Below are 27040 nucleotides of genomic sequence, written 5' to 3' on the forward strand. Positions count from 1 at the left end.
GTGTATCATCATTGTCTACTCTAACTTTTCCTTGAGATGTTTGAATTTTTACTGATAGCAGAGCCTCAAGTAAAATCTATCAATGCTTAATTATAGAAACTAAAACATCAGAAAGGATTTGGGGCAAAAAGCTTATAATTTTTCTGAAGTATCCTAAAATGCTGTCTTATGACTGGGGCATACAATATATAGCATATGCAAGTTTATTTATCTTTTGAATTTAGTTTTATGGATAAATTTCAGATCGCAAGTGCCTGTTTTTTGTCTCCTATTATTTTTCTATGTCCTATGCCAGAAGCCTAGCGGTAAATTTCTGCCTCCTAGAAAATGTCAGCAAATGCTCTGTGTGATTTACAAGCAGAGTATTTCAGAAATGGTAAAACACATAGACAGCATTTTTCAGAACCACAGTGTTAATCTCAAGGGCAAACATTCTTAGGCTTGTGACACTGACAGCTCCTCTGTGAGGGGATTCTATTTCATAGAATTTTAGGTACAACTGAAATGCCTGAAGGGGCATGGCCTATATAAAATGTAATTTTAAGGCTGCAAATTAGTTTTAACAAAGCATATAAGATTGCTGAATCTAGTACTCTCTACGTATTGCAAAATTAATGCTTTGGGGCTTTCTTTTAAGCTTGGATAAAGCTGGGTAGAGATTGGGTTTTCTTCTGTGCAGGACATCATCATAACAATTACTTTCTATTCCAACTTGGCTGGAGGGAGAAATTGAAGCTGAAGGATGTTTCCCAGTCCATTAGGCAGTTTAAAGTCCTTGCTATGGCTCAGAGTTCATCTTTTAGCTTGTACTTTTTTGTTTTGTAGAGACAGGGTTGGCTGGAGTTTTCATGTGAGTTACCTAGAATCCCTTTTGAGGTAAGACTCCTTAGATAATATATACTAGCTTTGGTATATTAAATGTATTTGACCAAGAAGGTTTTGACATTCTCCTCAGCTTGAAAAAACTTAAGACAGGTTTTTCCCAGACTATAGGTGTTGACCTCCCTTTTCTTAGAGCATTTACTTTATAAAATGTCCTGTTGTAAATTCTTTGTCTGTCCTGTTGCGGGAAGTCAGGGACCCTGAACAGAGGGACCGGCTGAAGCCATGGCAGAAGAACATAAAATTGTGAAGATTTCATGGACATTTATTAGTTCCCCAAATTAATACTTTTATAGTTTCTTAGGCCTGTCTTTACTGCAATCTCTGAACATAAATTGTGAAGATTTCATGGACACTTATCACTTCCCCAATCAATACCCTCGTGATTTCCTATGCCTGTCTTTAATCTCTTAATCCCGTCATCTTTGTAAGCTGAGGAGGATGTATGTCCCCCCAGGACCCTGTGATGATTGTGTTAACTATACAAATTGTTTGTAGAGCATGTGTATTTGAACAATATGAAATCTGGGCAACTTGAAAAAAGAACAGGATAGCAGCAATGTTCAGGGAACAAGAGAGATAACCTTAAACTCTGACTGCCTGTGAGCTGGGTGGAACAGAGCCATATTTCTCTTCTTTGAAAAGCAAATGGGAGAAATATCACTGAATTCTTTTTCTCAGCAAGGAACATCCCTGAGAAAGAGAATGCATCCCTGAGGGTAGGCCTCTGAAATGGCTGCTTTGGGGGTGGCTGTCTTTTACAGTCACAGCTGTAGGGATGAAATAAGCCCCAGTCTCCCGTAGCGCTCCCAGGCTTATTAGGACAAGGAAATTCCCACCTAATAAATTTTGGTCAGACCATTTGTCTGCTCTCAAACCTTGTCTCCTGATAAGATGTTATCAATGACAATGCGTGCCCGAAACTTCATTAGCAATTTTAATTTCGCCCCCGTCCTGTGGTCCTGTGATCTCGCCCTGCCTACATTTACCTTGTGATATCTTATTACCTTGTGAAGCATGTGATCTCTGTGACCCATACCCTATTCGTACACCTCCTCCCCTTTTGAAAATCACTAATAAAAACTTGCTGGTTTTGCAGCTTGTGGGGCATGACGGACCCTGCCGATGTGATGTCTCCCCTGGACACTCAGCTTTAAAATTTCTCTCTTTTGTACTCTGTCCCTTTATTTCTCATACTGGCCCACACTTAGGGAAAATAGAAAAGAAACTACATGAAATATCGGGGGTGAATTTTGCCTGATATCTGGCTGAATTTCCCCCGATATTGTCCCTTTGAGATATTAATTTTCTTCCAGTGCTAGTATCTTACCAGTTTCACAACCCAGGAATATCTTTCTCAAGGACCTGGGAGCCATTCCTTTGAAATGTAAATATCAAGAGAGAGTTTCCTATTTCCCAGTTTTGGTGGGAGAGTAGGAACTTAACTTACATAAGCAACAATTAGCAAATATAGATGGCTTGATCAAATGGCCAACCTCTCGCCTAATGCCCATCAGTACTTTTCTACTAGTTCACTCCAGTGCTTAATACCTTTTTGTGTTAGTGGAATTGAATTCAGTCTCTCTCTCTTATTGCAATAGTCTTGAATAAAGTCTTCCTTGCCTGTTTAACTTTTCTATCACAATTTTTCTTTGATGTATCTCATTTCCATTTTATGTAAGTGAAAATCTTCAGAGGAGTTAAAATAAGAAAACCACCAGCTCATTTGCTGCCTGGTCACAGAGACAGCTATCAGAACAAAGGTGTGATGTGTGTGTGTGTGAGTGTGTAGCAACGTAGGTGACTTGGGGTCTGGGTGGAAAGTCTCTCATTATTTTATGAATTTCCCACATGGTCATTCTCTCTGCCAGGTACCAGCTTAGATTTATTGGAGATAGAGTCAGGCTTGGTCTTGAGTGGAGATGTTTGTTGCGCATTGCAGAATGATTCAGATAGATCATTACCAGATACCAGATAATGCTTTTGTTTGTTTGTTTGTTTTTTCCTTTTCATGTCTTTGAGGGTGGGGATCTTATTGATCTTTGGAATTGACTCAGGCTACATGACCAAATCCTCACTAAGCCTTTTCAGCAGGAAAATCACACCCAGTGTATTTCACCAGTCAAAATGAAGATGGAAATGTTGGACAAAATATTTGATCCTCATATCACAGGATCAAGCTCATTAATAGTTGTATGCACTTTCCAGTCAAACTAATCTATGTTTTCAAACTTCTTTTTCACATCCTTGAAAAAACAGTGGTGCTCTAGGCAGATCACTCTACCTGCTGATAGAATTCTTTGCTTATTTTGGCCCACGTAATTTCTAGTGGGGAGTTTGTGCTGCTTTCTACTTACTTAATTTACATACCTGTGATAAAAACACTTTAAAATTAGGGTACATTAGATGATGATTGATTAAAAGCCTCAATAGTTATTTACGATAGAACTGTTCCATGGCAGCAGAAGCTTGTCTTTAAGATAGGTACCATCAATTTTCTTTTTCCCTCTATACACAAATCCCTATGAAGAGGTGACATCTATTTCTCCTTTCCCCTTACATCTGGGCTGGTCTGAATGACTTATTTGGCTAATAGAATCTGGGAAAGTGATGTCTTGCTACTTCTGAAATTAGGTCATAGAAATCTCTGCAACTTACCCTGGGTATCTTGGGCTGTTTGCTTCTGTAGTTCTTACTCTGAGAGTAGTCAATGCCATATAAGAAGCGTGGCCATGATGTGAGATATTTAACTTACATAAACAGCCCAGATTGATTGAAATGCCATGTTGTGGGTGGGGGGGGGGGAAGACAGAGAGAGAGAATGGAGGCCAAGGATCTGAGAGAGAGAATGGAGGCCAAAGAGCAGAGATGCCAGACATGCGTGTGAAGAGATCGCCTTGAAAGCATATCCTATGGGTCCAGTCTCTGCAGATAATGCCAGTTTGGCAAGAGGTAAACTGTCTACCTAAGCCGTTCCCAAATTTATGACCTTCAAAATCATGAGAAAGCTAAAACAGGTGTTTTAAGTCAATAAACTATGGGGATGGTTATGCAGCATTAGCGACTGGAATAATATCCAAGTTTCAATTTTAGGTTTTAGAACGAAATATTGCTTCCGCATTTCCATGTTCAAAGCTTCCTGCTCTTTTCCCCAAAATCAACTTTGCTGGAAGTTTCCAAGCAGAAAGTCAGTATCAAAAGTTTGGTGCTAGTTTTATAATAAAATAAATTCCTCTCATTTGTACCCCATTTGCATCCCATTTGCAAAGAAAATTTGCAGAGGCCTATATAGAGCCTAAATATTTTTGAGGAAGTAGATCTTAGGTCTATTTCTTTATGATATTAGACAGTTACCTGTGATAAATTAGTGCAGTCTTATACCCTTGTAGAATTATATTCAGGATTATAACTGGAAGGTTCCTAGACACTTACTTTTTTGAGAAGAAGGGTTTTGAAGCTGGCAGGCTGGCATTCAAATCTTAATCCTACCATTAATCTTGGGAAAAATACTTAAATTTTTATGCATCTCAATTTCTTCACCTCTAAAATGAGAATAATAATAATAATAATGCTTTGCAGTGTTTTTTAATTGATGATATACAAAATGATGTATCTAGCAGACACTAGTTATTCAAAAAATGCCAATCTCCCATTTCCATTTTCTTCTTTTGCTCAAGCAATTCATTAAGCTGCCTTCTCTGTCTCATTCCTCTGTTTTCAGTTGAAGTAATATTGTTGTTATTTGTTTGTAGGTATGTTTCAGTCCTTAGTCTATAAACTCAGGGTATGTATTTATTTATCTTTGCATTTCCAAGAATAGCTCATACCCTGGCATGCCAAAGATATTTTAAGATATGTATAGAATAGAAATATAAAGTCTCACCTCTCCTATAAAGCACCCTTTGAGCAGCCTACCTCCTACTGATCCCTATTTTCCCTAAAATTAAAAAAAAAAAACACTACACCATCTGATCTGTTCCATCCTTTAGGCCAACATGAATTAGACACTGCATGTAATTTTGACTTTCATGTCAGTTTACTACATACAGTTTAAGTCTTCTGTTATAAAATCTTCAAATGGTGGTCGTAAGATCTTTCTGTGAGGTGGTCAGGTATGTTATTTTATTGCTCCAAGACTTGCCTCAAACAGTGCCTTGTACGTGTAATATATCTTCAATGGATAAAATAAGGAAGAGTCTCTGTAGGAGAAGAATGAGAGGTCAAGGAGCAAATTAAACTTTCATGGATTAAAATGATCTGGTCTTTCTCCTATAATTTGGAAATTTGGAGTCTTAATATTAGGAAGTATTAGGTGTGTGTTTAGTTTAGAGTGGTTCAATCTCATTTGCTGTAATTTAAAATGGGAACTTTATTGCATTGTGATTGAAACACGGCCTGAGTATTTTAATAGAAAATCAATTCTTGTAAAGCTAGTTGAAAAGTGATTGCTTTTTAATTGGAATTGTTTATAGTCACAGTCCATTCGTTAAAGCTATTTCAGGATTCAAACAAATGAGAACAACTTGAAATCAAGAAACTGCATTAATCACAACAATAGTTAACTCACAATGCTAAATAGACAAGAAAATATTAACTTTCTGGGGGAGGTGAAGGAGTCACTTTTCTTTAGTAAAATCACAATGTAGGATTAAAGTGAGGCCTTATAGAAGGGAAATAATGGATTTCCCAGATGCAAATGTTGATCTATTGACCAAGCAAATTTGCGGTTTAGATTCACTGACTGAAAAAAGCTATTGCCCTCACAAAGCCTTCAGAAAGCCAAGTTCTTTCCATTTACTGTGGAATTTGTTCAATCTGAGGTCCAATCTCTTTGTGTCTAACAATTAGCCCAAACAAGTTTTTACATTTCCTAAGTAATAGTGCACTTAGAATTTCTCAGGGGCATTACTCCATTATTTAGCCAATAACATTGCCAGGAAACCATTACAAATTTTTGTGGAGGTCTTCCATTTGTTAGTTTTTCACAAACCATTTTATTTAGTTAAATAATTCTTTTCCTCCTTGACTTTTCAATCTTCTACTGTACTATATGTCTTACCTTCTTTACAACTGAATACAGCTATAAAACTAAGATTTTTTCCTTGTCTCTCTGCTACTCATTGTATTTCTGTTAGAATTTGTTTTATTTTATTTTGCTACTTAATCCTAAAGAAGTGATCCAGTTTATTTTGCAACAAGAGAGTAGAAAGTATTTATTATCACAGTTCACTATTTTCTACAGTAGGTTTGCTATAGTTGGTCATTCATTTTAATACAAAATACACTCATATACAGAACAAAAATTTAAAAATTTAGCATATAGCAAAATCAATGTATATTTAAGCATAAATGAGCAAAGAATTATAAAATTTGGAAAAGATGCCCTCATTTGAGCTTTGCCTAGCTCCTTGTTACTAGTTTTAAATAGACATACAAATAAATAATAATATATACACTTTACTTCCAATAAGACATATCAAACTAAGATATATTCATAGAAAACAAATCTCACCTAGAATCAAAAGGGTATATATTCTTTTTCCAGTATGTGATGGTACATATTGTATTATTATTTTTTTAAATCAGGGTCTCACTCTGTCACCCAGGCTTGAGTGCAGTGGTATAAACATGGCTCACTGCAGCCTGGAACTCCTGGGCTCAAGAAATCTTCTCACCTCAGCTTCCTGAGCAGCTGGGACTACAGGTGCATGCCACCACATGCAGCTACTATTTTAAATTTTTTGTAGAGATAACATCTAACTGTGTTGCCCCAGCTGGTCTCACTCTCCTATACTCAAGCGATCCTCCCACCTCAGCTTCCCTAAGTGCTGGGATTATAGGCATGAGCCACAATGCCCAAGCTTTATTGTATTTTTTGATGGCTAAGCTGCCATCCATTTTTATTTTTTCCAATAGCCTTTCACCTCTTTCACTGAAGTAAATATGATCTAATATTAAAGTTAAAAATTCTCTGAATCCTGGATGACATTAGAGCATAAAGCAGCTCTCTCTTATTGTGGGAAACATAGACTCCCTGAACAAGTTGTAACAAAGCCAATGTCTACTTTTTAAAGTAATGTTGATGATAATATTGAAAAAAGGCTATCTTTACATAATGCTTTAAAGTTGTGGTAAAGGACAAAATCATCTTGTCATTTGAATATTACTGCACTGTATTGGATTTGTATTATAATATTCATTATTAAGTATGAAAAGTGACACATGGAGGGGGTCAGTAGCTTTGATGAAGACCACATATCCAGCAATAAGCAGAACTGGAATCTGCCTTTGGGATTCTCATCCTTAGCATAAGGTTTTCTCTATTACATCATGTTATTACACTATGTTAAATTAATTTATTAAAACATAAATAAGTATAATAATTTTATATACTGCTTGGTGTATAGACTGATGCACAGACTTATGAAAATATATAGAATCATATTTCTTATTTTGGAAATCTAAATTTTCTCTAAGATATAAAACTTAGATTAAGTTGTATTTCAATACAATACACTTTATCAAGGGATAATTTACTTAAAATAAAATGCATCCCAATTTAGTGTATATTTTGATGAGTTTCGAAGAATGTGTACAGACAGGTAACTACCATCATTACCTCAAGACATGGAACATTTTCGTCACCTGAAAAAGTTCCTTGTGATTCTTCACAGTCAATCCTGTTTCACCCACATTAGCCCCAGTCACAGATCTGCTTTCTGCCTATAAAGATTGGAATTCTTTCCTGAGTTTCATATGAATGACTCAAAAGTAACTACTCTTCTGTGCCTGACTTCTTTTTCAACATAATGTTTTTGAGATCATCCATGTTGTGAAGTTGTATCAACGGTTCATTCCTTTTTATTGCTTCTTAGCATTCAATTGTATGTTATGCTAACATGTTTATCTATTCACATGTTCATGGCTATTTGGACTGTTCCCAGATTTTGGCTATGGGGAATAAAAAAGCTATAAACATTTGTGTACAAGTCTCTGTGTGGGTGTATGTTTTCATTTCTCTTGGGCAAATATCTAGAAATGGAATGGCTAGGTCATATGGTAGATATCTGTTCAAATTTATATAAAACTGCTAAAATGCATTTTTCAAAGGTTGTCATTTTATATTCTTACAGGCAATGTATGTGAGTAACCAGTTATCAATATTGGTATTGTTAGTCTTGCATTTTAGCCATTCTATTGGATTTGTAGTGGTATCCGATTATAATTTTAGTTTTAATTTCCCTGATGACTAATGATGCTGACAATTTTTCCAGGTGCTAATTGGTCATTTGTATATCTTCTTAAATCAAATAAATATTTACATCTTTTTTCTAACTTAAAATTGATTCTTTTTCTTCTTACTATTGAATTTTAAGAGTTCCTTATATAGTCTAGATGAATTTCTTATATTTCTGTGTTAAATATATTCATTTCCAATATTTTCTTCTACTCTATGACTTGCCTTATTTGTTTATGGGTATGTTTTAAAGAGCAGCAGTTTTTCATTTTGATATATTCTAAATGTGAATATTTTTGTTATTCATACTTTTTTATGTTCTATATAAAATATTTTTGCTAACCAACCTAAAATCATAAAAATATTTGATCTTCTGAAAGTTTAATACTTGTATCTCTTAATTTTAGGTCTATAATCTATTTTGATTTGTTTGTTGTATGATGTGAATTAAGAACAAAGTTTTATTTTTCTCCATAAAAATATGCTATTGTTCCAGTCATAGTATTTCAACAGTATAATTTTCTCATTAAATTGACTTGGCAACATTGTGAAAGATAAATTAATATCTATCTGTCTTATCTATGTACCTAGCTAACTAGACTTTTGATTCTATTCTAATGATTTATATGTCTGTCTTCATAACAACAACAAATTGGCCTGATTATGTCTGTATTGATATTATATCCTGAAACCACGCAGTGTAAGTCCTCTAACATTTTCTTTAAAAATTAAAATTACTTATTTATTTGTTATCTATTAGTGTATATTTTAAAATAAGCTTGTCAATTTCAACAAGTAATCCTGTTGATTGAGATTGCATAGAGATTTCTCTCAGCAATATTCTTTGTTTGCTTTGCACATATTTTTTAAAGTTTATCACTAGTCATTTCATGTTTTTGGTACTATTATGACTGATATTTTTTACAATTCGATTTCTGTTCATTGTTAGTATATAGAGATATAACTGATTTTTGTGTGGAGACCCGATACTTTGCAGCATTTGCTAGCCTACTCACAAAAGCTAGTAGCTTTGTCTTGATTCCTCAATGTATATGCACATACACATTTCTGCATATGTCATATGTAAATGACAGATTTAATTCTTCCATTCTAATGTTCATATGTTTTATGTTTTGACTTATTGAATGAATTTATAATAAGAGTGGAAATCATTTCCTTATTACTGATATTAAAGGAAGAACACTAAATCTTTTACTATTAAGTGTGATTTTAGCTGAGAGTTTTTCAACTTGACTTTTATCAAGTTGAATGGGTATTACATGCTCTCAAAGCCCTTACTGCATCTTTTGTGATAATCATAGCTTTTTAAAAAGTATATTAATGTAGTAAATTATATAGGTTGACAGTCAAACCAACCTTGCATTTCTGCTATAAAACTAACTGGGCTATGATATATCACATTGAGGCAGGAGAATAGGACCTGGAGGCAGGGAACTTAAGACCAATCCATGCTGACTTTCTAGAACTAAATCAAATGAAAGCACTTCGGCAATGACAGGACTGTGAATGGCTTTGTAACTGCACTTCCTCCTCTCCATTCATGCTATTTACACTTGGTAACTTCACATTCATCCTTTCCATTTACCTAGATCACACACACCAAATAATATCCTCTCCATTTACAACAGGGCACAACCCAAGTAAATGACTCTGTGACTTCACCTCATTCTCTTCATTTACATAGAATATATGCCAAGTAACCAATGGGAAACCTCTAGAGTATTGAAATTCCAGAAAATCCTGTAAACAGGGCTCTTGAGCCCCTATGCTCAGGCTCCCACATTGTGGAGCGTACTTTCATTTTCAATAAATCCCAGCTTTTGCTTTCCTCGCTTTGTTTGTGAGTTTTGTTCAATTCCTTGTTCAAGACGCCAAGAACCTGGACACCTACTGCTAACAACATTTGCTAATATTTTGTTAAGAACTTTGTATCTATCTTTATGAAGATATTATGTCCCAGTTTTATTTCCTTGAAGTTTCTTTTTTGACTTTTGTTATCAGGATAATGTTGACCTCTGTTTTCTGAAAAAAAAAATGTGTAAGAATAGTATTTATTTGTTAAACAATTTATAGAATATAACTATGAATGTATGTGGGACTGTGTGTTCTTTGAGGTAAAGTTTACAAACTACTAATTCAATTGCTTATATATTTATAGGGCTAGCTATATTCAGAGATGTTTATTTGAGTTTGTATTTGAAATATGCACTTATACTGAATATAGATTTTAGGTTGCAATAATATTTTCTACACCTTCTAAGAGGTTATTCCACTAACTTTTTGGTTGTATATTTTCCATAGGCAACACGCATACTTTTTTTTTGCCATGTTAAAGTTTTATTAAGTTTCAATACATAACATTCCAAAAAGTGAAAAGTGATCTATAATACCCAAGTTCTATGTTCAACTACCAGTTAAACAAGGAAAACATTTTCTATATCATTCTGTTTTACAACCAGTATAAACCCAGAAGAATCAAGATCTAATTCTTTTTCCACAAGTCTGCTAGGTCAGTAAACTATTTATCAAACAGGTGTCTGGTCATTTTAACATACTCCTTGCTTTGAACTTAATATTCATTCACAATTTGTACAATCTCTATATCCTATGCTATCTTTAGGATATCTAAATATCTTAAATATCTAGTATATCTCAAGAGCCAAAAAGGTCCTCACAGAAGCTTTAACCCAAGTAATCATAAGAGTATGGAAGGATTGGGCTAAGACAACTATGGAAGTGCAACAACCACATAAATTTGGTCATTACCTATTACAGGTCTGTGATTAGTAGTAGTCTGTCAAACGAGAGTTTAAAATGTTGTACTTACTATCCCTAGTTGCAAATGGTAAAACATGACAGTGCCATAATTATGACAAAAAAAAAATCTTAGAAGTTGAGTTAGTTCCTGTAATCCAACAACTCAAGTCTATTTCCTTTGAGAAAATTATACTATTGGCTCTAGTCTCTAAAGCAATAAACTAAAACTTATTTCCAAGATTGGGAGGTAAAGTGAGCTTGTAAAACAATCAGCAAAAGTGGACTACTTGTTTCCAGTGTGCTTGCCATCTTAGCATGTTTGTTACTTTCTATGTTTAATACACACTTAAATGGTCTTATTCAGGGAGGGGAAAGGGGAGGTTCTTGTGGATTCCCAGGGAAATGTCAGAAAAGCAAAATGGCCAGCATTATCCATTTGCTTTTTTGGATTTACTGCGTGAATAGCACTTTCCTTACATAGACATCTGATTTCAGGTTTTTTATGCTGAGAACATTGAGATTTCAGTTGGAAGACACCCTGAAATCTTCTGAGTAGCAAACCCCAACCACTCTCTAAGTTTTATTCTACAACTAAACTCTGTTTCTGGATAAGCCACCACCAAAAAATGTTTCACTTACTGACAGACATAGACATTTCACTAGACAGAGCTACCACTTATTCATCATTTTTATGATTCAACTTAAGTTCTAAATTGAAGAGTTGTCCCTTGACTTTATCTAAACAAAATGAAAACCAAAGCTATAAAATCTATGTAAAGGAACACAAGAACTTCCTGACTACCTCCACTTACCAATTTCCTTAATTACTTCTCCTTTTCCATTTGGTCAATTATTGTTTTAAGTAACTACTACTCACTCCCTAGTTATGAATGTTAATCAACACTGATGCCATCCTCAGGTCCACAGGAACCCTTGAAGGCAAAATCTATTGATTGCACCAAACCAGTTCTGACAGCACTTCTTATGTAACTGTAGTGACTTATCGACAATCAGCCACCTTCTGCTTCAAAAACTCTTAGCATTTGATTTATCTGACTGCCAGCTTTATCTACTGTGAATAAATCAGCACTCCACGACCATAATGAGCATAATCCTCAACCATCTTTGCTGTTTCACAGGCATTTGATGCTTTAAATCTGATGTGGAATGCTGATAGATTAACTTTTTAGAAGTCATAAGCCTTTAGGAAGTTGGAGATAACTTTATTGCTTATCTATTTTCTCCGTTGCAATCAAGCTGTTCCTTTAAAAGTGAGACATTACAGAGTTGCAAAAATTTGAAACAGTAAGAGCAGACACCTTTGCAGCTTCATGGTTGGTTTTGGCCAAACTTTTTTTTAGTATTCTGTGGCTGTTTGACACACACTTAAATGGTCTTATTCGGGGAGGAGAAAGGGGAGGTTCTTGGGGATTCCCAAGGAAATGTCAGAAAAGCAAAATGGCCAGCATTATCCATTTGCTTTTTTGGATCTACTGCGTGAATAGCACTTGCCTTGCATAGGCCTCTGATTTCAGGTTTTTCATGCTGTGAACATTGAGATTTCAGCTGGAAGACACCCTGAAATCTTCTGAGTAGCAAACCCCAACCACCCTCTAATAGCTAGCTTGTTTGTATAGGCAGAATGATTCATCTCTCCATTTTACATGGCTAGACGTTTTGTGGAAGATCTTAGAATTGCTTGCCTCATTTACTGGGAAAAATCAGATAGGAGTGGCCTCTAGGAACACTTTTGCTTGGAAAGTTACAACACTAGTACAACAAGTCTTAACACATTTAACATTTGCTTGTTAAAAAGCAATGTCATAAAGTCAGATAAAATTAAACATGTTTTACTTTTTTCCTCACAAGAACATAAAAATTATGGAGGGGAACATAACAGGGAATTTAAAAAAGGTAACACAATTTTTCCTTTTAGTAGTCCTTCGGTAGCTATGACAGAATAGTTTCACTTTTCGTTTGTTTCTTTGAACTGGGGTTTTGGTCCAAAGTTTTGTTTGCTTCTAGTATCTGCTTCTGCCTCCCCCTCTATCAGATCGGCTTCCTCCACGGCCACCACCTCTTGGTGCTCTGCAGCTTGAACTGCTGTAGGAATCACATGGAGAAGGGTACCCCCTTTCTGTAGAAGGGGCAAGCCCTCTTTCTCGTCTGCCAAGCCGATCAAGACCACTTGAATAGAGATCACTTCGGCTGCTTGAGTAACTGTCTCGACTTCTACCATATCCGTCACGTGAGCTGCTGTAATCATGATAGCGACTGCTTCCAGCATAAAATGGTGGGGGCCCTTGTGTAGGTGGAGCACTATGTGAGTTATCATAACTCTCATATGAATCTCTGTAGGAACTTCCACTTGGATGATCTGAATAGTCATGATCATGATCATATCCATCTCTATCGCTATAGCCTCTTGATGGATAGTCATCACATGAACTGGAATGACTGTAATCACGGTAAGTATAATCTCGTGGTGGTGGTGCATAATCTCTTGTATTACAAGAACTTGGGTAATCTCTGCTTGAAGAGCTGTCTTTAGTAGACTACACATCATCTCTTGGGGACAAATAAACATCTCTACGAGAGGGCGGCAGTTCCCTTCGAGGTGGACCTCCCTAACTATCTTTTCCACGTGATAAAGGAGCTCTTCCTTCCATTCACTGCTGCTGTGAACTGGTGCAGATCTCTTAGGAGGTGCAGATCTCTTAGGAGAATGACCCCCACTTCTTGGTCGTGGTCCTCTTTTTACTAGGAGTGGTTCCCTGGAAGAACTCATGTTAAAATGCATGGAATATCCACCATCATCCATGTGTCCTCCCCATGAGGGAGGTTCCCTGGTTCCTCCACTTCCTCCTCTTCCACCTCTCAGACTTCTTGAAGGACCTCTAGTTCTTGGAGGTGGAGGCAGTCCACGTCTACCACTTTCAAATAATTGTTTGGTGGCTTATTCCACTTTGATGGCTTTTCCATTTAATGACTTTCCATTCATGTCTCTGGCTGCATCCTTAGTGTCTGCTGGGCTTTCAAAGGTGACAAAAGCAAATCCTCTTGATTTGTTGGTTTCACAGTCTTTCATCAAGAGTACTTCCACTATTCACTATTCGTCCATATTTGCCAAATGGTGCTTCAAGAGCTTTCTCATTAGTTTCCATATTAAGCCCACCAATGAAGAACTTTTCTGGGCAATCTGCTTCAACCATTTTTTTTAAATTTATTTTTATTTATTTATTTATTTTTTTGCTGGTGAGTCAGAGGGGTGACAATGGGTTCAAGCTCCAACGAGCTCACCGACAGGGGCTTCCTACCAGCTCAGCACCAGTGGCGGCTGCCAGGTCTGAGGACCAAATTGCGAAGCCACTAGCACTACTGCACAACCAATATGCATACATTTTAATCCTTGTTTTTCTTATATAATTTGTCTTTTTTCTCTGGATACTGTTAATATTTTCTCTATCATAGGTTTTTAGCAATTTTATTTTGATGTGCTTTGTTTTATTTTTATAGGCATTTTAAAATCTTTCTAGGTGTTGAGTTAGCATTGTAACTTTATTTAAATTTGGGAATATAGTAACCTCTATTTCTTCAATTTTTTTTTTTTTTATTTCTCTGTCCTTACCCTGTTTGGAATTCCTATTCCATGTCTGCACATAAATTTATTTTGTTCCATGGGTTACTGAAACAAATTATTTCATTCTCTTTATTTTTCAATTTTAATAGATTCCTTGCTAAATTTGAATATTTACTGATATTTTCTTGTGTAATGTCTTATGTGTTGTTAATCCTATCTAGTTAAAGTTTCATTTAGACATTAGTTTTCAACTCTAGAAGTTCTATCTAGTTGTTTGTTTTTTAAATTTCTATTTACCCTTTTATTTTGTTCATGTTATTCTTTACATATGTTTACATATTTATAATAACTGCTTAATGTATTTGCTAGTTCCATTATCTATGTCATTTATAGTTGTATTTGATTATTTTTCTCCTGCTTTGGATTACATTTTTTTTACTTAGCAGTCATTTTTTATTTTATGCTAAACATTACAGATTTGATGTTGGTATGGCTGGATTCTTGTTTTCTTCCTTTAAAAATTGTTAGGCTTTGTTTTGACAGGAAGTTGGTTACTTATAGATGAGTGTCATCCCTTTGAGTCATTTTTTAAAGCTTTTCTGGGAGCAGTCTAGAGTTGCCTTTATTCCACTGATAATTTGTCCAAATTACTAAGATACTGTCGCCTCTGATGAAAAGTTACTCTCTTAAATATGCTAAATAATCAAGAACTCTTCACTCTGGCTAGGTGGAGTTCAATATATGTTGTTAGAGCTTGCCTTGTGTGAGCTCTGGAAATTTTTTCTTATAGATACTTGGTTGCTTTTTTTGCCTGGCCTCATGGAGTTTTACTCCACACTTGCATATCTGAGTATTCAACAATGATATAAAAGGGCACTGTAGTTAGATTTCTGAAGCTCTTGTCTGCATAGCTCTCTCTCTTCTTAAATTTCCATAGGTTTTTGGGAAACAGGTGGTGTTTGGTTACATGAGTAAGTTCTTTAGTGGTGATTTGTGAGATTTTGGTGTACCCATCATCAGAGCAGTATACACTGTATCGATTTGTACTCTTTTATCCCTTACCTCAACTCCCAATCTTTCCCCCAGTTCCCAAAGTCCCTTTTATCATTCTTATGACTTTGCATCCTCATAGCTTAGCTACCCCTTATAAGTGAGAACATACTATGTTCAGTTTTACATTCCTGAGTTACTTAACATAAAATAATGGTCTCCAATTCTATCCAGGTTGCTGCGAAAGCCAGAATGCCAATATTTTGTTCCTTTTTATGGCCACATAATATTCCATGGTGTGTGTGTGTGTATATATATATATATATATATATATATATATATATATATATATATATTATATATATCACATGGGATATATATATATCACAATTTCTTTATCCACTCATTAACTGATAGGCATCTGGGCTGGTTCCATATTTTTGCAATTGCAAATTGTGCTGCTATAAACATGTGTGTGCAAGTATCTTTTTTTGTATAATGACTTCTTTCCCTCTGGGTTGATATCCAGTAGGGGGATTGCTGAATCAAACTGTTGTTCTACTTTTAGTTCTTTAAGGAATCTCCATACCGTTTTCCACAGTGGTTATATTAGTTTACATTCCCACAAGCAGTGTTAAAGCATTTCCTTTTCACTACATTCCCACCAACATCTATTATTTTTTTATTTTTTGATTATGGCCATTCTTGCAGGGGTAAGTTGGTATTGCATTGTAGTTTCAATTTGCACTTCCCTGATCCTTAGTGATGCTGAGCATTTTTTCATATGTTTGTTGGTCATTTGTATATCTTCCTTTGAGAATTGTCTATTCATGTCCTTAGCCCAATGTTTGAAGTGATTGTTTTTTCTTGCTGATTTGTTTGAGTTTCTTGTAGAGTCTGGATATTAGTCCTTTGTCAGACGTATAGATTGTGAAGATTTTCTCCCACTCTGTGGGTTGTCTGTTTACTCTGCTGATTGTTTCTTTTGCTGTGCAGAAACTTTTTAGTTCAATTAAGCCCCACCTGTTTATCATTGTTTTTGTTGCATTTGCTTTGGGGTTGTTGGTCATGGAGTTTTTGCCTAAGCCAATGTCTAGAAGGGTTTTTCCAATGTTATCTTCTAGAATTTTTATGGTTCCAGGTTTTAGATGTAAGTCCTTGATCCACCTTGATTTTTGCACAAGGTGAGCAATGAGGATTCAGTTTTATTCTTCTACATGTGGCTTGCCTATTATCCCAGCACCATTTGTTGAATAGGGGGTCCTGTGAAGGAAAACCAATCATATTAACAGCAGATTTCTCAGCAGAAAACCTACAAACTAGAAGGGGTTGATGCCCTATATTTAGCCTCCTTAAACAAAACAATTATCAGCCAAGAATTTTGCATCCAGTGAAACTAAGCATCATAAAGGAAGGAAAGTTACAGTCTTTTTCAGACAAACAAATGCTAAGGGAATATGCCACTACCAAGCCAGCACTACAAGAACTGCTAAAAGGACCTCTAAGCCTTGAACTAAATCCTTGAAATACATCAAAACAGAACTTTTTTAAAGCATAAATCTCACAGGACCTATAATGCAACAATATGCACACACAACAATTACAACAACAACACAACAACAAAAAAACTCAAACAACCAAGATATGCAAACAACAAATAGCAGGATGAATAGAATAGTACCTCACATCTCAATACTAAATGAATGTAAATGGCCTAAATGCTCTACTTAAAAGATACAGAATGGCAGATTGGATAAGAATTCACCAACCAAGTATCTGCTGCCTTCAACAGACTCACCTAACACACAAGGACTCACATAAATTTAAGGTAAAGGGGTGGAAAAAGACATTTTATGCAAATGGACACCAAAAGCAAGTAGGAGTAGCTATTCTTATATCAAACAAAACAAACTTTAAAGCAACAGTAATTAAAAAAGACAAAGAGGGACATTACATAATAATAAAAGGTCTTGTCCAACAGGAAAGTATCACAATCTTAAATATATATGCACCTAACACTGGGGCTCCTAAATTTATAAAACAATTACTACTAGACCTAAGAAATGATATAGTGCCCTCTCTTTTCAAGATCTCTGCCCCTACAATTTCCAGCTGCCTCAACCTTCCCTTTTCCCCATTTACATTCTTCACCTCCATGAGGTTGCTTGGGGGCTTTGGATTTACCTCTCTGTGCATGTGCTTTTGAAATTTTGTCTAGGAAGCAAACCAGAACAGTTACAAGATTAGTCTCAACTGCTTCACTTCTCTGAAAAATCAAAGTCCTGAGGGATGTCTTTTAAAAGTCAATGTCTGAAAGACATCTGTTTTATTTTTGTTTTGTTTTGTTTCCCAGCAGGATGGTAAATCTAATCCTTCTTATAACATCATGGCAAGAATGTGAAGTTTCAGATTGCTTTTAAATCCCAGTCTAAAGCCATGTTAAGTACTATAATTTATGGATTTTTAAAAAACCTTCTGGACAATCATATCTATGTCAATGAGTTTACTTAATTGTTAACCCCTTTTCTGGAAAAAAAATGTCATAAACAGCAGAATGGGAGAGACCAGAAAATGATTTAAATAACCCAGATGTGCATAATTCAAAAATGGCCTTGAAATACAAGAAAAAAATTGAAAATTTTCAATGTAATGCATTTTCACAACTACTTAAGAAAACTTTTTCAATATATAAAAATAAAAAGAAAATAGATTTTAGAACATTTTCAAAGAGTATCCTGAAGTACAGTCAAGAGCAGTTTAAAGGGATCCTTGTTCTCTGTTTGTAAATGTTCACAGGCCCAAAAGAAGGGAAACAGAAAATCTAAATTGGAAAGAGAAATTACCAACTTACAAAACCTCCAAAAGTGGCTGTATAATTCAAAGAGATTTAGAAGAATATAAACCAACTATAAATGATAATGTATGGCTCTCCAGGTGAAATAAAATTGTCTGATTGTACAAGAAGTAAAGGAATATATAGAAAAAGTGAATGTTGAGACTTAAAATAAATAGTAAATCCTTGAGGTAAACTGAACTTTATTTGCCTTGGTTAACAGAAAACACTCCAAGTCTTGAAAATTTATAACAATCCTTAGTCTCTTTCAGTGTCTTTCCTATAATTATTAATTTGTCAATATTATCAGAGGAAATTTCTTTATTCTCTGTGTTAGAAACCGTGTAACTTTTATGCATATACTTTGGACACTGAGGTTCCAGATGAAACAAACTGTGAAAGAATTATTTTTAGAAGATCCCTAAATATTAACAAATGAGCAGATTATAACCAATCTAGACATCCCATAGTACCCAGACCATGGATGAGTTATGAGTCTAGAATTATTTTCAAATAATCCCAATGTGCAAAAACTCCACAATAATAATTGGAGAACAGAACAATTGGAGAAAACTCATATGAATGTAGATTTATTTTCTAGAATATCAAAAAGTTTTGTTTTTATGTATATGCAAAAATTAGGACACATTGTAGGTATGTAAGATCAGCAACATGGCACACATAAAAATTCAGAAGGATTCTTCCCAAAATTTCATAAATGTTTTTTAAATGTATATGAAAGTATTAGATTATGCTCTAGAGGTATAAACTCAGCAATGTGACACACCCATTGCCTATTACATCTTACCATTTGGATCAGTAGTCAGGGATTATCCTCCTTGCCTCAGAATAATTTTACTCTTGGGTAAATTAATCAGAGTTATCTTTCCATAATCTAGCCATCTCACCTGTAGTGTAATATGTATTTGTTAGAACAGGCAGATAGTTAGACTGAGCAAGAAGGGGAGTCCCTACAAAAGTAAGCTTTGGAAAATCTCATAGCCCAGAGACCACCCAAAACATGCATGCTAGGTATGAGCAGAGAGAAGGGAAATTACCAATGTAAGAAGGAACTCTCCAAAATGCCTCTTAAGATGCCCAGTAATCACTCATTCTATGATTGAACTGTGAGAATGTAGTCAGCTACATGCTGATAAGGAGGGGAAAAGGGCAAAGGGGAAATTCCTAAGAGAAACAAAGGCACTATAACCACAGATTTAACTGCTGTTTATACGACCTTCCTGGGATGTTGGTAATGAACCACACTGCCATTAGGTAAGATTTGTATTGATCCCTGGGCCTGCACATGTGCATCAACTGACAGTAAGGGAGAATCCTACAAACCTGGGGTGGGAACTAGGTGGGGGAAAAGGCAGGGACTTAAGGCAGAAATGGGAAACCAGACACAGACAAAGGCAGAGACTTAATACAGAGGTGCAAACTTAAAGAAAGAGTGTGACATAATAAAAACCACAACATAGAACTCTCAAGGTTGCTGGTCCATTCTCTTCCAAGCAGCCTATTCTGCCTCTTTAAATAATCTCTGCTGACACTTAACCCTTGCTGCTACTGTCGCTGCTCCCAGCCTAGTCAGCTCACTCCTCTCTTGGAGTCTACTTCCTTCAATAAACTCTCTGGTCTTTATTTCTTCAATAAATTCTCTGCTTTCTTTGTTTAACAAGCAAAGTCTCCCAAGAAGACTAAGAACTGAGGACACCACACTTTCCAGTAACTTACTGAAATATATCAACTTTCTCTTTTGTTGTGTTACAATATCCTTGTTGGTGAAGAAAACTTGAGGGTTGTAATTCTGTAGTTTGAGAAGTACTCATGTCCAAAATAAATATTTGGGGTAATCCAGTACCAAATTTTCATTTCATTTTTTTTTAGTTTTATATTTCAATATTAATGATTAAAGTCCTCATGCAAGAACCTCTCATTGAACAGAATGACAAAATCCATGAAGAATATCAAGAATTCTGTCACAGGTGCGCAAAATTTGCTTGCCAATTCCACAAACAACAGATAGGAATAGTCAGGTTGCAAGGTCTGTGAGGGCATGATCTAAGAAAGCCACCATGGCTGTCTGACATCATGATCATGGCTATCATGACATCAGATAATCTCAAATAAACATTTGGTAAAATATTCTATGAGACAATCATCACAGTAGTGATAAATTGGCCTTCATTTCAAACAGCAAAGCAGAAATGTTCTTAGGAGGTATTTTATACTATTGTTCCTCTGTATGGGCTTTTAGCATATGCTAAAGGGAAAACCCAAAAGGATTAAACTGTTGTCAACAAATCAATAATATTCCAGAAAAAAGCTCAAGAGTATTTGTAAAATGCAGAAAAAAAAGAAAAATAAATAATCAAGAACCCAACAAAGTTGAATTTTCAGTTCTATATGTGATGCAAAATCCCAAGGCATGCAAAGGAAGCAGAAAAATGTGACCTATAATGAGGCACAAAATCACCCCTTTCTGCAAATGCTTATTTTCATCTGGATTATTTTCCATCTACCTGTGGGAATTCCTTTAACATTTCTTGCAGTTTGTATCTGCTTATTGCCTTTAAATTTTGTTAGGCAGGACCACAGCAGAATTTGACCTATGGCTAATTTTGCTCCACAATTGAGGCACAAATTTTTAACGTACTCTACCCAATACCCTGTGAATTATTAGGATTTGTACTCTAGTTAGTGGAAATGACGATTTACTTTTCCAGCCCTGTGTAAGTACAAAGGATTGTTACCTCTGTCTTTTCACGCATTTCTTTCTCTGGTCTCAAATTGTTTTCCCGTGTTCCTGTGCTGATTAGTATTCGGCTCATGACTCGGGGAGAACTCTTCCAGATCTCTAGAGGTCTCTGTCTGGGCAGCTCTCTTCTTTCTGGTACTCTGCATTGCAAACTCTATCAACTTTGTCTTCCCTACGTTCCCTACTATGTCTCTTCAAGACATAGGCTCTATCTGGTTTTCCTCTTTCGTTGCCACCTGGAAACCTCTTCAGAAAGTATACTGGGACAATCAGAGAGCTCACATTGTTTATTTACTATCTCTGTTGTTGCTGTCATTGTCTAATATCCAATGTCTTCAAAACCTTTGTTTCATTTATTTTGTGCATTTTAAAAATGTTTTGGGCAGGAGGATATATCTAATCCTACTTATTCTATCTTGTTTAGAAGAAGTCTTGAAAGTAGGCTTTTTGATTTGCATACATTTTAATATGTTTAATTTTTGTTGATGAACAAGGAGACATTCTTTTATATTTATTTTTTTTTTTGAGACGGAATTTTGCTCTTGTTGCCCATGTTGGAGTGCAGTGGTGCGATCCCGGCTTGCTGCAACCTCCACCTTCCAGTTTCAAGTGATTCACTAGAAGAAATTCTTAGTGAAACATAAACTTCCCATTAGTATTATTTCTCTCTCTGATACTCATTTACTAACATAAATCCCACTGGCTATGAGCCAATTAGACAGCAGATGGTTCAGTTTAAATCAATTAAATTGAATGACTTGTACCATAATAACTGGGACTATCAAAGTGCACGTCCAAAAAACACTGTTCTTTTAACAATAATCCTTATGCTTTTGACAGTCCTTGGGGAAGCTCAGCTGAGGTTCACCTTCAACATTTATCAACATTATTAATCTTATAATTTTTATTTATAAATGAAGCGGCTAGATGAGTAAAAATATTGTTATTCAGTATTAATCTTATCAAATGTTTATTATCAGTATTTTATGATTTTTATTTAATTTTTATTTTTTGACCGGTTTTATAATTATGGGATACAAAGTGATGTTATCATGTATATACAGAGTATGGAGTGATTAAATCAAGCTAATTAACATATCCATCACTTTAAATACTTAACATTTATTCTTCCTGTCTCATTGCAGCTTCATACCCTTTGACTATTTCCCCAAACCCCCACTCTGATAACCAGCATTCAGTTTTTGCTTCTATGAGTTTGATTGTTTTAGATTCTACATGTAATTGAGAACTTGTGATATTTGCTTTTCTGTGCCAAGCTTATTTAACTTAGTATACTGTCCTTCAGTATACTAAGTATACTTGTCCTATTTTGAAAGGACAAGATTTCCTTCTTTCTAAAGGCTGACTGGAATTACATTATGTAGATATGCCACATTTTCTTTATCCGTTCATTTGTTAATGGATGCTTAGACTGATACCATAGCTTGGCTATTGTGAATAGTGCTACGATAAACATGCAAGTGCAACTATCTCCTCAATATGTTGATTTCCATTCTTTTGGATATATACTCAGCAATGGGATTGCTGGATCATATGGTAGGTCTATGTTTTAGTCTTTTGAGGAACCTCCACCTTGTTTGCCTTAGTGACTGTGCTAATTTACATTCCCACCAACAGTGAACAGGGTTTCCTTTTCTCCATATCCTTGCCAACATTTGTTTTTATATTTTGTCTTTTTGAAAACAGATGTTCTAACATACACCTGGGCCTGTTGAGGGATTGGGGGTGAGGGGAGGAAACCTAGATGACGGGTCAATACGCACAGCAAACCACCATGGCACACATACACCTATGTGACAAACATGTACATTCTGCAGTGTATCCCGGAACTTAAAGCAAAATAACAAAAATTTAAAAAAAGAGAAAGAAAATAGCTGTTCTGACAGGTGTAGGTGGTATCTATGGTTTTTTTTGTTGTTTTTTTTTTGAGATGGAGTCTTGCTCTGTCACCCAGGCTGGAGTGCAGTGGCGTGATCTCGGCTCACTGCAAGCTCTGTCTCCCGAGTTCAAGCAATTTGCATTTCCCTAATGATTAGTGATGATACATATTTTCATTTGACTGTTAGCTATTTGCATAGCTTCTTTTGAGACATGTCTATTCAGTATTCAGGTTCTTTGCCCAGGTCTTTTCATTTATTTATTTATTTATTTATTTATTTATTTATTTATTTATTTATTTATTTTGCTGTTGAGAATTTTGGGTTTCTTGTTTATTTAGGATATTTCCATTTTATTAGACATATTGATTACAAATATTTTCTCTCATTCTGTAGATTGTAGATTCACTGTGCTCTTATCTGTATGCAGAAGAATGGAATTGGACCCTTGCCACACACTTGTGAAAGGAAAATAAATCTTGGGGTCCCAAAATCACTAAGCTAAAGTGAAAAGTCAAGCTGAGAACTGCTTAGGGCAAACCTGCCTCCCATTCTATTCAAAGTCACCCCTCTGCTCTCTGAGATAAATGCACATCTGATTGGCTCCTTTGGAGAGGCTAATCAGAAACTCAAAAGAATGCAACCATTTGTCACTTTTCTACCTATGACCTGGAAGCCCCCTCCCTACTTCTAGTTGTCCCGCCTTTGCTTTGAGTTGTCCCACCTTTCCAGACCGAACCAATGTTCAGCTTTCATATGTTGATTGATGGCTTATGTCTCCCTAAAATGTATAAAATCAAACTGTGCTCTGACCACCTTGGGCACATGTTGTCACTATCTCCTGAGGCTGTGTCACGGGTGCACATCCTCAACCTTGGCAAAATAAACTTTCTAAATCAACTGAGATCTGTTTCAGATATTCGGGGTTCGCACACCATATGCAAATATCAACTAAAAATGAATTAAAGACTCAAATCTAAGACCTGAAACTGTAAAACTACTGGAAGAAAACAAAGGGTGAAAATTCCACAGCATTGGTCTGGGCAATGATTTGTTGTGTAGGACCCCAAAGCATAGGCAACAAAAGTAAATGGACAAATGGGGCTGCATCAAGCTAAAAATCTTTGACATGGCAAAGGAAACTATCACTAGCATTTTCAAAGTGATGGGAAAAAACACATTTTTTTCTACAAGCAAACCTTACTATTTGAATTAATTATAATTTAATTTTTTCCTATGTTTATTCTTGAAAATGTACCAAAAAACAATGACTTAGACATTCCTTAAATATCTAAGCAATAAAAAAAATGAATAACTCATGAAACAGCAGATTTTTATACGCTGTTTCCTCTATAAGATAGCAAACCCCTAAAGGTTAGGATGTATGCTTTAATTCCTTATCTTCCCTCCACACTACCCTAGCAAGATACTCTTTTACTATATATATCTAATACCATTATTATTTTTCAGTTGATTAACAATTAAATTAATCCACTTCAGTAGGTATACTAGGTTCAAATAAAAAATTCACGGACAACTAGTCACTAAGAAAGGCTTCTATTTAATTTTCTGTAAAGTGAATTTCTGTTAAGTGTAAATTTCTATAAAATAAAGACAATGCTACTAGCACTAATAACATTGTTGTAGGTATCACCTGAGTTATGTTTAAAACTTTTAGAAGAGTATCTGAAATAAAATAAGTACTTAATAAATTATAGCTATGTTTTAATTATTCAATTATTAATAATAGAATAATTAAACAGTACATAAAATTGTTATCCATCTCATACAAAATGGCACAATTCTCAGATACATTTCAATGTATGAAATGAACCTATTAGTCTAATTTTTTCAGCATAGTAAATTTCCAAAAAAATTTTGAATCTTTTTTCCTATCTCAGCAGTATAAACTAATTACAAAATTGAATGTATGTTTTTCAGAAGAAATATTGACCATCATATAAAACGTCATATTTAAGAGATTAGTAAAATGCCGAAGTCCTACTGTTAGAAGCAATCGATAATTCAGTATTAAAATAATTAATAAAATATGGATAAAACAATAAAGTTTGTATTGATGTAGAACATATTGAAAGTCAGAAATAAAAGTCACTACCTAATGAGGAGAAAATCAGATTTAATCTTCTTTTAGCAATTATACATTATTTATGTTGAGGCTACAAAGATAAATGACAAGTGTTGTCTTCAGGGAGTTTCCAGGCTTGTATCAGGGATGGTTAACAGAAGCAGGTGGTTTCAGCATAATGTTAAGTAAGTGCTATGATAGCATAATCTCTCAGAGAAAACACCAAGCCTGTCCTAGAATTTGAAGAAATTTTGAAAGAGAGGATACCTGGGCTGATCTGAAAGGATGAAGAGGAGTTAGGTTAAACAAAGAAATGCAGTAAAAAGGATGGAGAGAGGAAAAGAAGCATGAATCAATATGTTGTTTCTACAGCAGAAATTGTGTGGCAAGGAACAGTAAAGGGTGAACCTGGCAAGGCAGACAGGATCCATGGCACCTGGTGTCTCATGCATGTGCAAAGGAGCTGACCTTTATTTTATAGCAGTAAGGAACCACTTCTATTTGTTTTTGAGATTTTTTTTCCCCAGGACTTTGTGAAAAATATCTTGGCCTGGAAAATTATAGAAGAGATATAAAGGATAAAAGACAGTCATTACTTCAAAATGCAACCTTTATATCATAGAAATATAGTTCATAAAACTAGAGCAGATATTTGAGATCACTTAATTCTACTGCTTCAATTTACAACTAAGAAAATTGGTCCAAAGGCAATCAGTGCCTTATCAAAGGCACAGAGTTGTATTACAGTTAAGGTCTGAATATATACAAGCATGCTCACATGTGCCCTACATACACTTATGCACACATTCAACTAAAAAGCCATTATAAAGGGGTAGTGGTATGTTAAAATGTGTCTAAGAGAGACTAAAAATGTATTTATTTACTTTTATTTTTAATTTTAATTTAAATTTTTTTTTGTAAACTGGTAGGGAAAGGGTGCCTCGCCCCAGGTACTGCTGCAGAGATATGCCTTTATTTTTTAATTTTTTAAAAATAGAATTTCAACTTTAATTTTAGATTCATGGGGTACATATGCGGGTTTGCTACATGGGTATATTATGTGACACTGAGGTTTAGGGTATGATTGATCCTGTCACCCTGGTAGTGAGTGTAATACTCAATAGTGTTTCAACCCTTGCCCCTATCTTACCCTCCAACCTCTAGTATTCCCCAGTGTCTACTTTTTCCATCTTTGTGTCCATGTGTACCCATTGTTTACTTCCCACTTATAAGTGAGAACATGTGGTATTTGATTTTCTGTTTCTGCATTAATTTGCTTAAGATAATGGCCTCCAGCTGCATCCATGCCACTGTAAAGAGCATGATTTCATCCTTTTTATGGCTGTGTAGTATTCCATGGTTTATATGTACCCACATTTTCTTTATCCATTCTACCATTGATGGGCACCTATGCTGATTCCATGTCTTTCCTATTATAAATAGTGCTGCAATGTACATACAAATGCAAATATTAATCAAGAACAAAGTATGTGTCAATGTTCTAATCAATATTTTCAGTTATAATCAACTATGCTTTTCAGAAAATTAAGTTGATAGAGAACAAACAAAATGCTAGGTAGGAGATCTTAAAAATTATCTTATAAAAACTGACAAGCTAGTAAGAAATTACCAGGCCAAACTTTAAGAGAAAGCTGAAATTCAGAGGTATAAGCAAAGCAATTTAAGTCAATTTTGCTTGAAGAATAAATTATGAAAGCGAGTTACATGTATGGAAAATAGAGACAGATATCTAAAGTTCTGCTTGAGTTTACTAGACTCTCTTTATTTCAGCATTGAACTTGGACTCTGAGTCATTACTTCATGTTGAAAAAGAGTAAGAAAGGTAAATCCATATTCCTCCTCACACTTCCAGAGAATTTCAGGGAGAGTTTACTTGACTCTGAGCAGAATAAGGGCAGAAAGACAGACAGAGGATTTTCCCTTAAGAAAATTTATTCGTTAGTTGATGTTATTTGGATTTGTAGACCTGGGATT

General features: G+C 35.2%; 1 pseudogene; it reads right to left on the reverse strand.

Annotated features, from left to right (window-relative positions):
* RBMXP1 (RBMX pseudogene 1) lies at positions 12233-14284 on the reverse strand (annotated as a pseudogene).

Source organism: Homo sapiens, chromosome 6, assembly GCF_000001405.40.
Source record: "Homo sapiens chromosome 6, GRCh38.p14 Primary Assembly".
Taxonomy (NCBI): domain Eukaryota; kingdom Metazoa; phylum Chordata; class Mammalia; order Primates; family Hominidae; genus Homo; species Homo sapiens.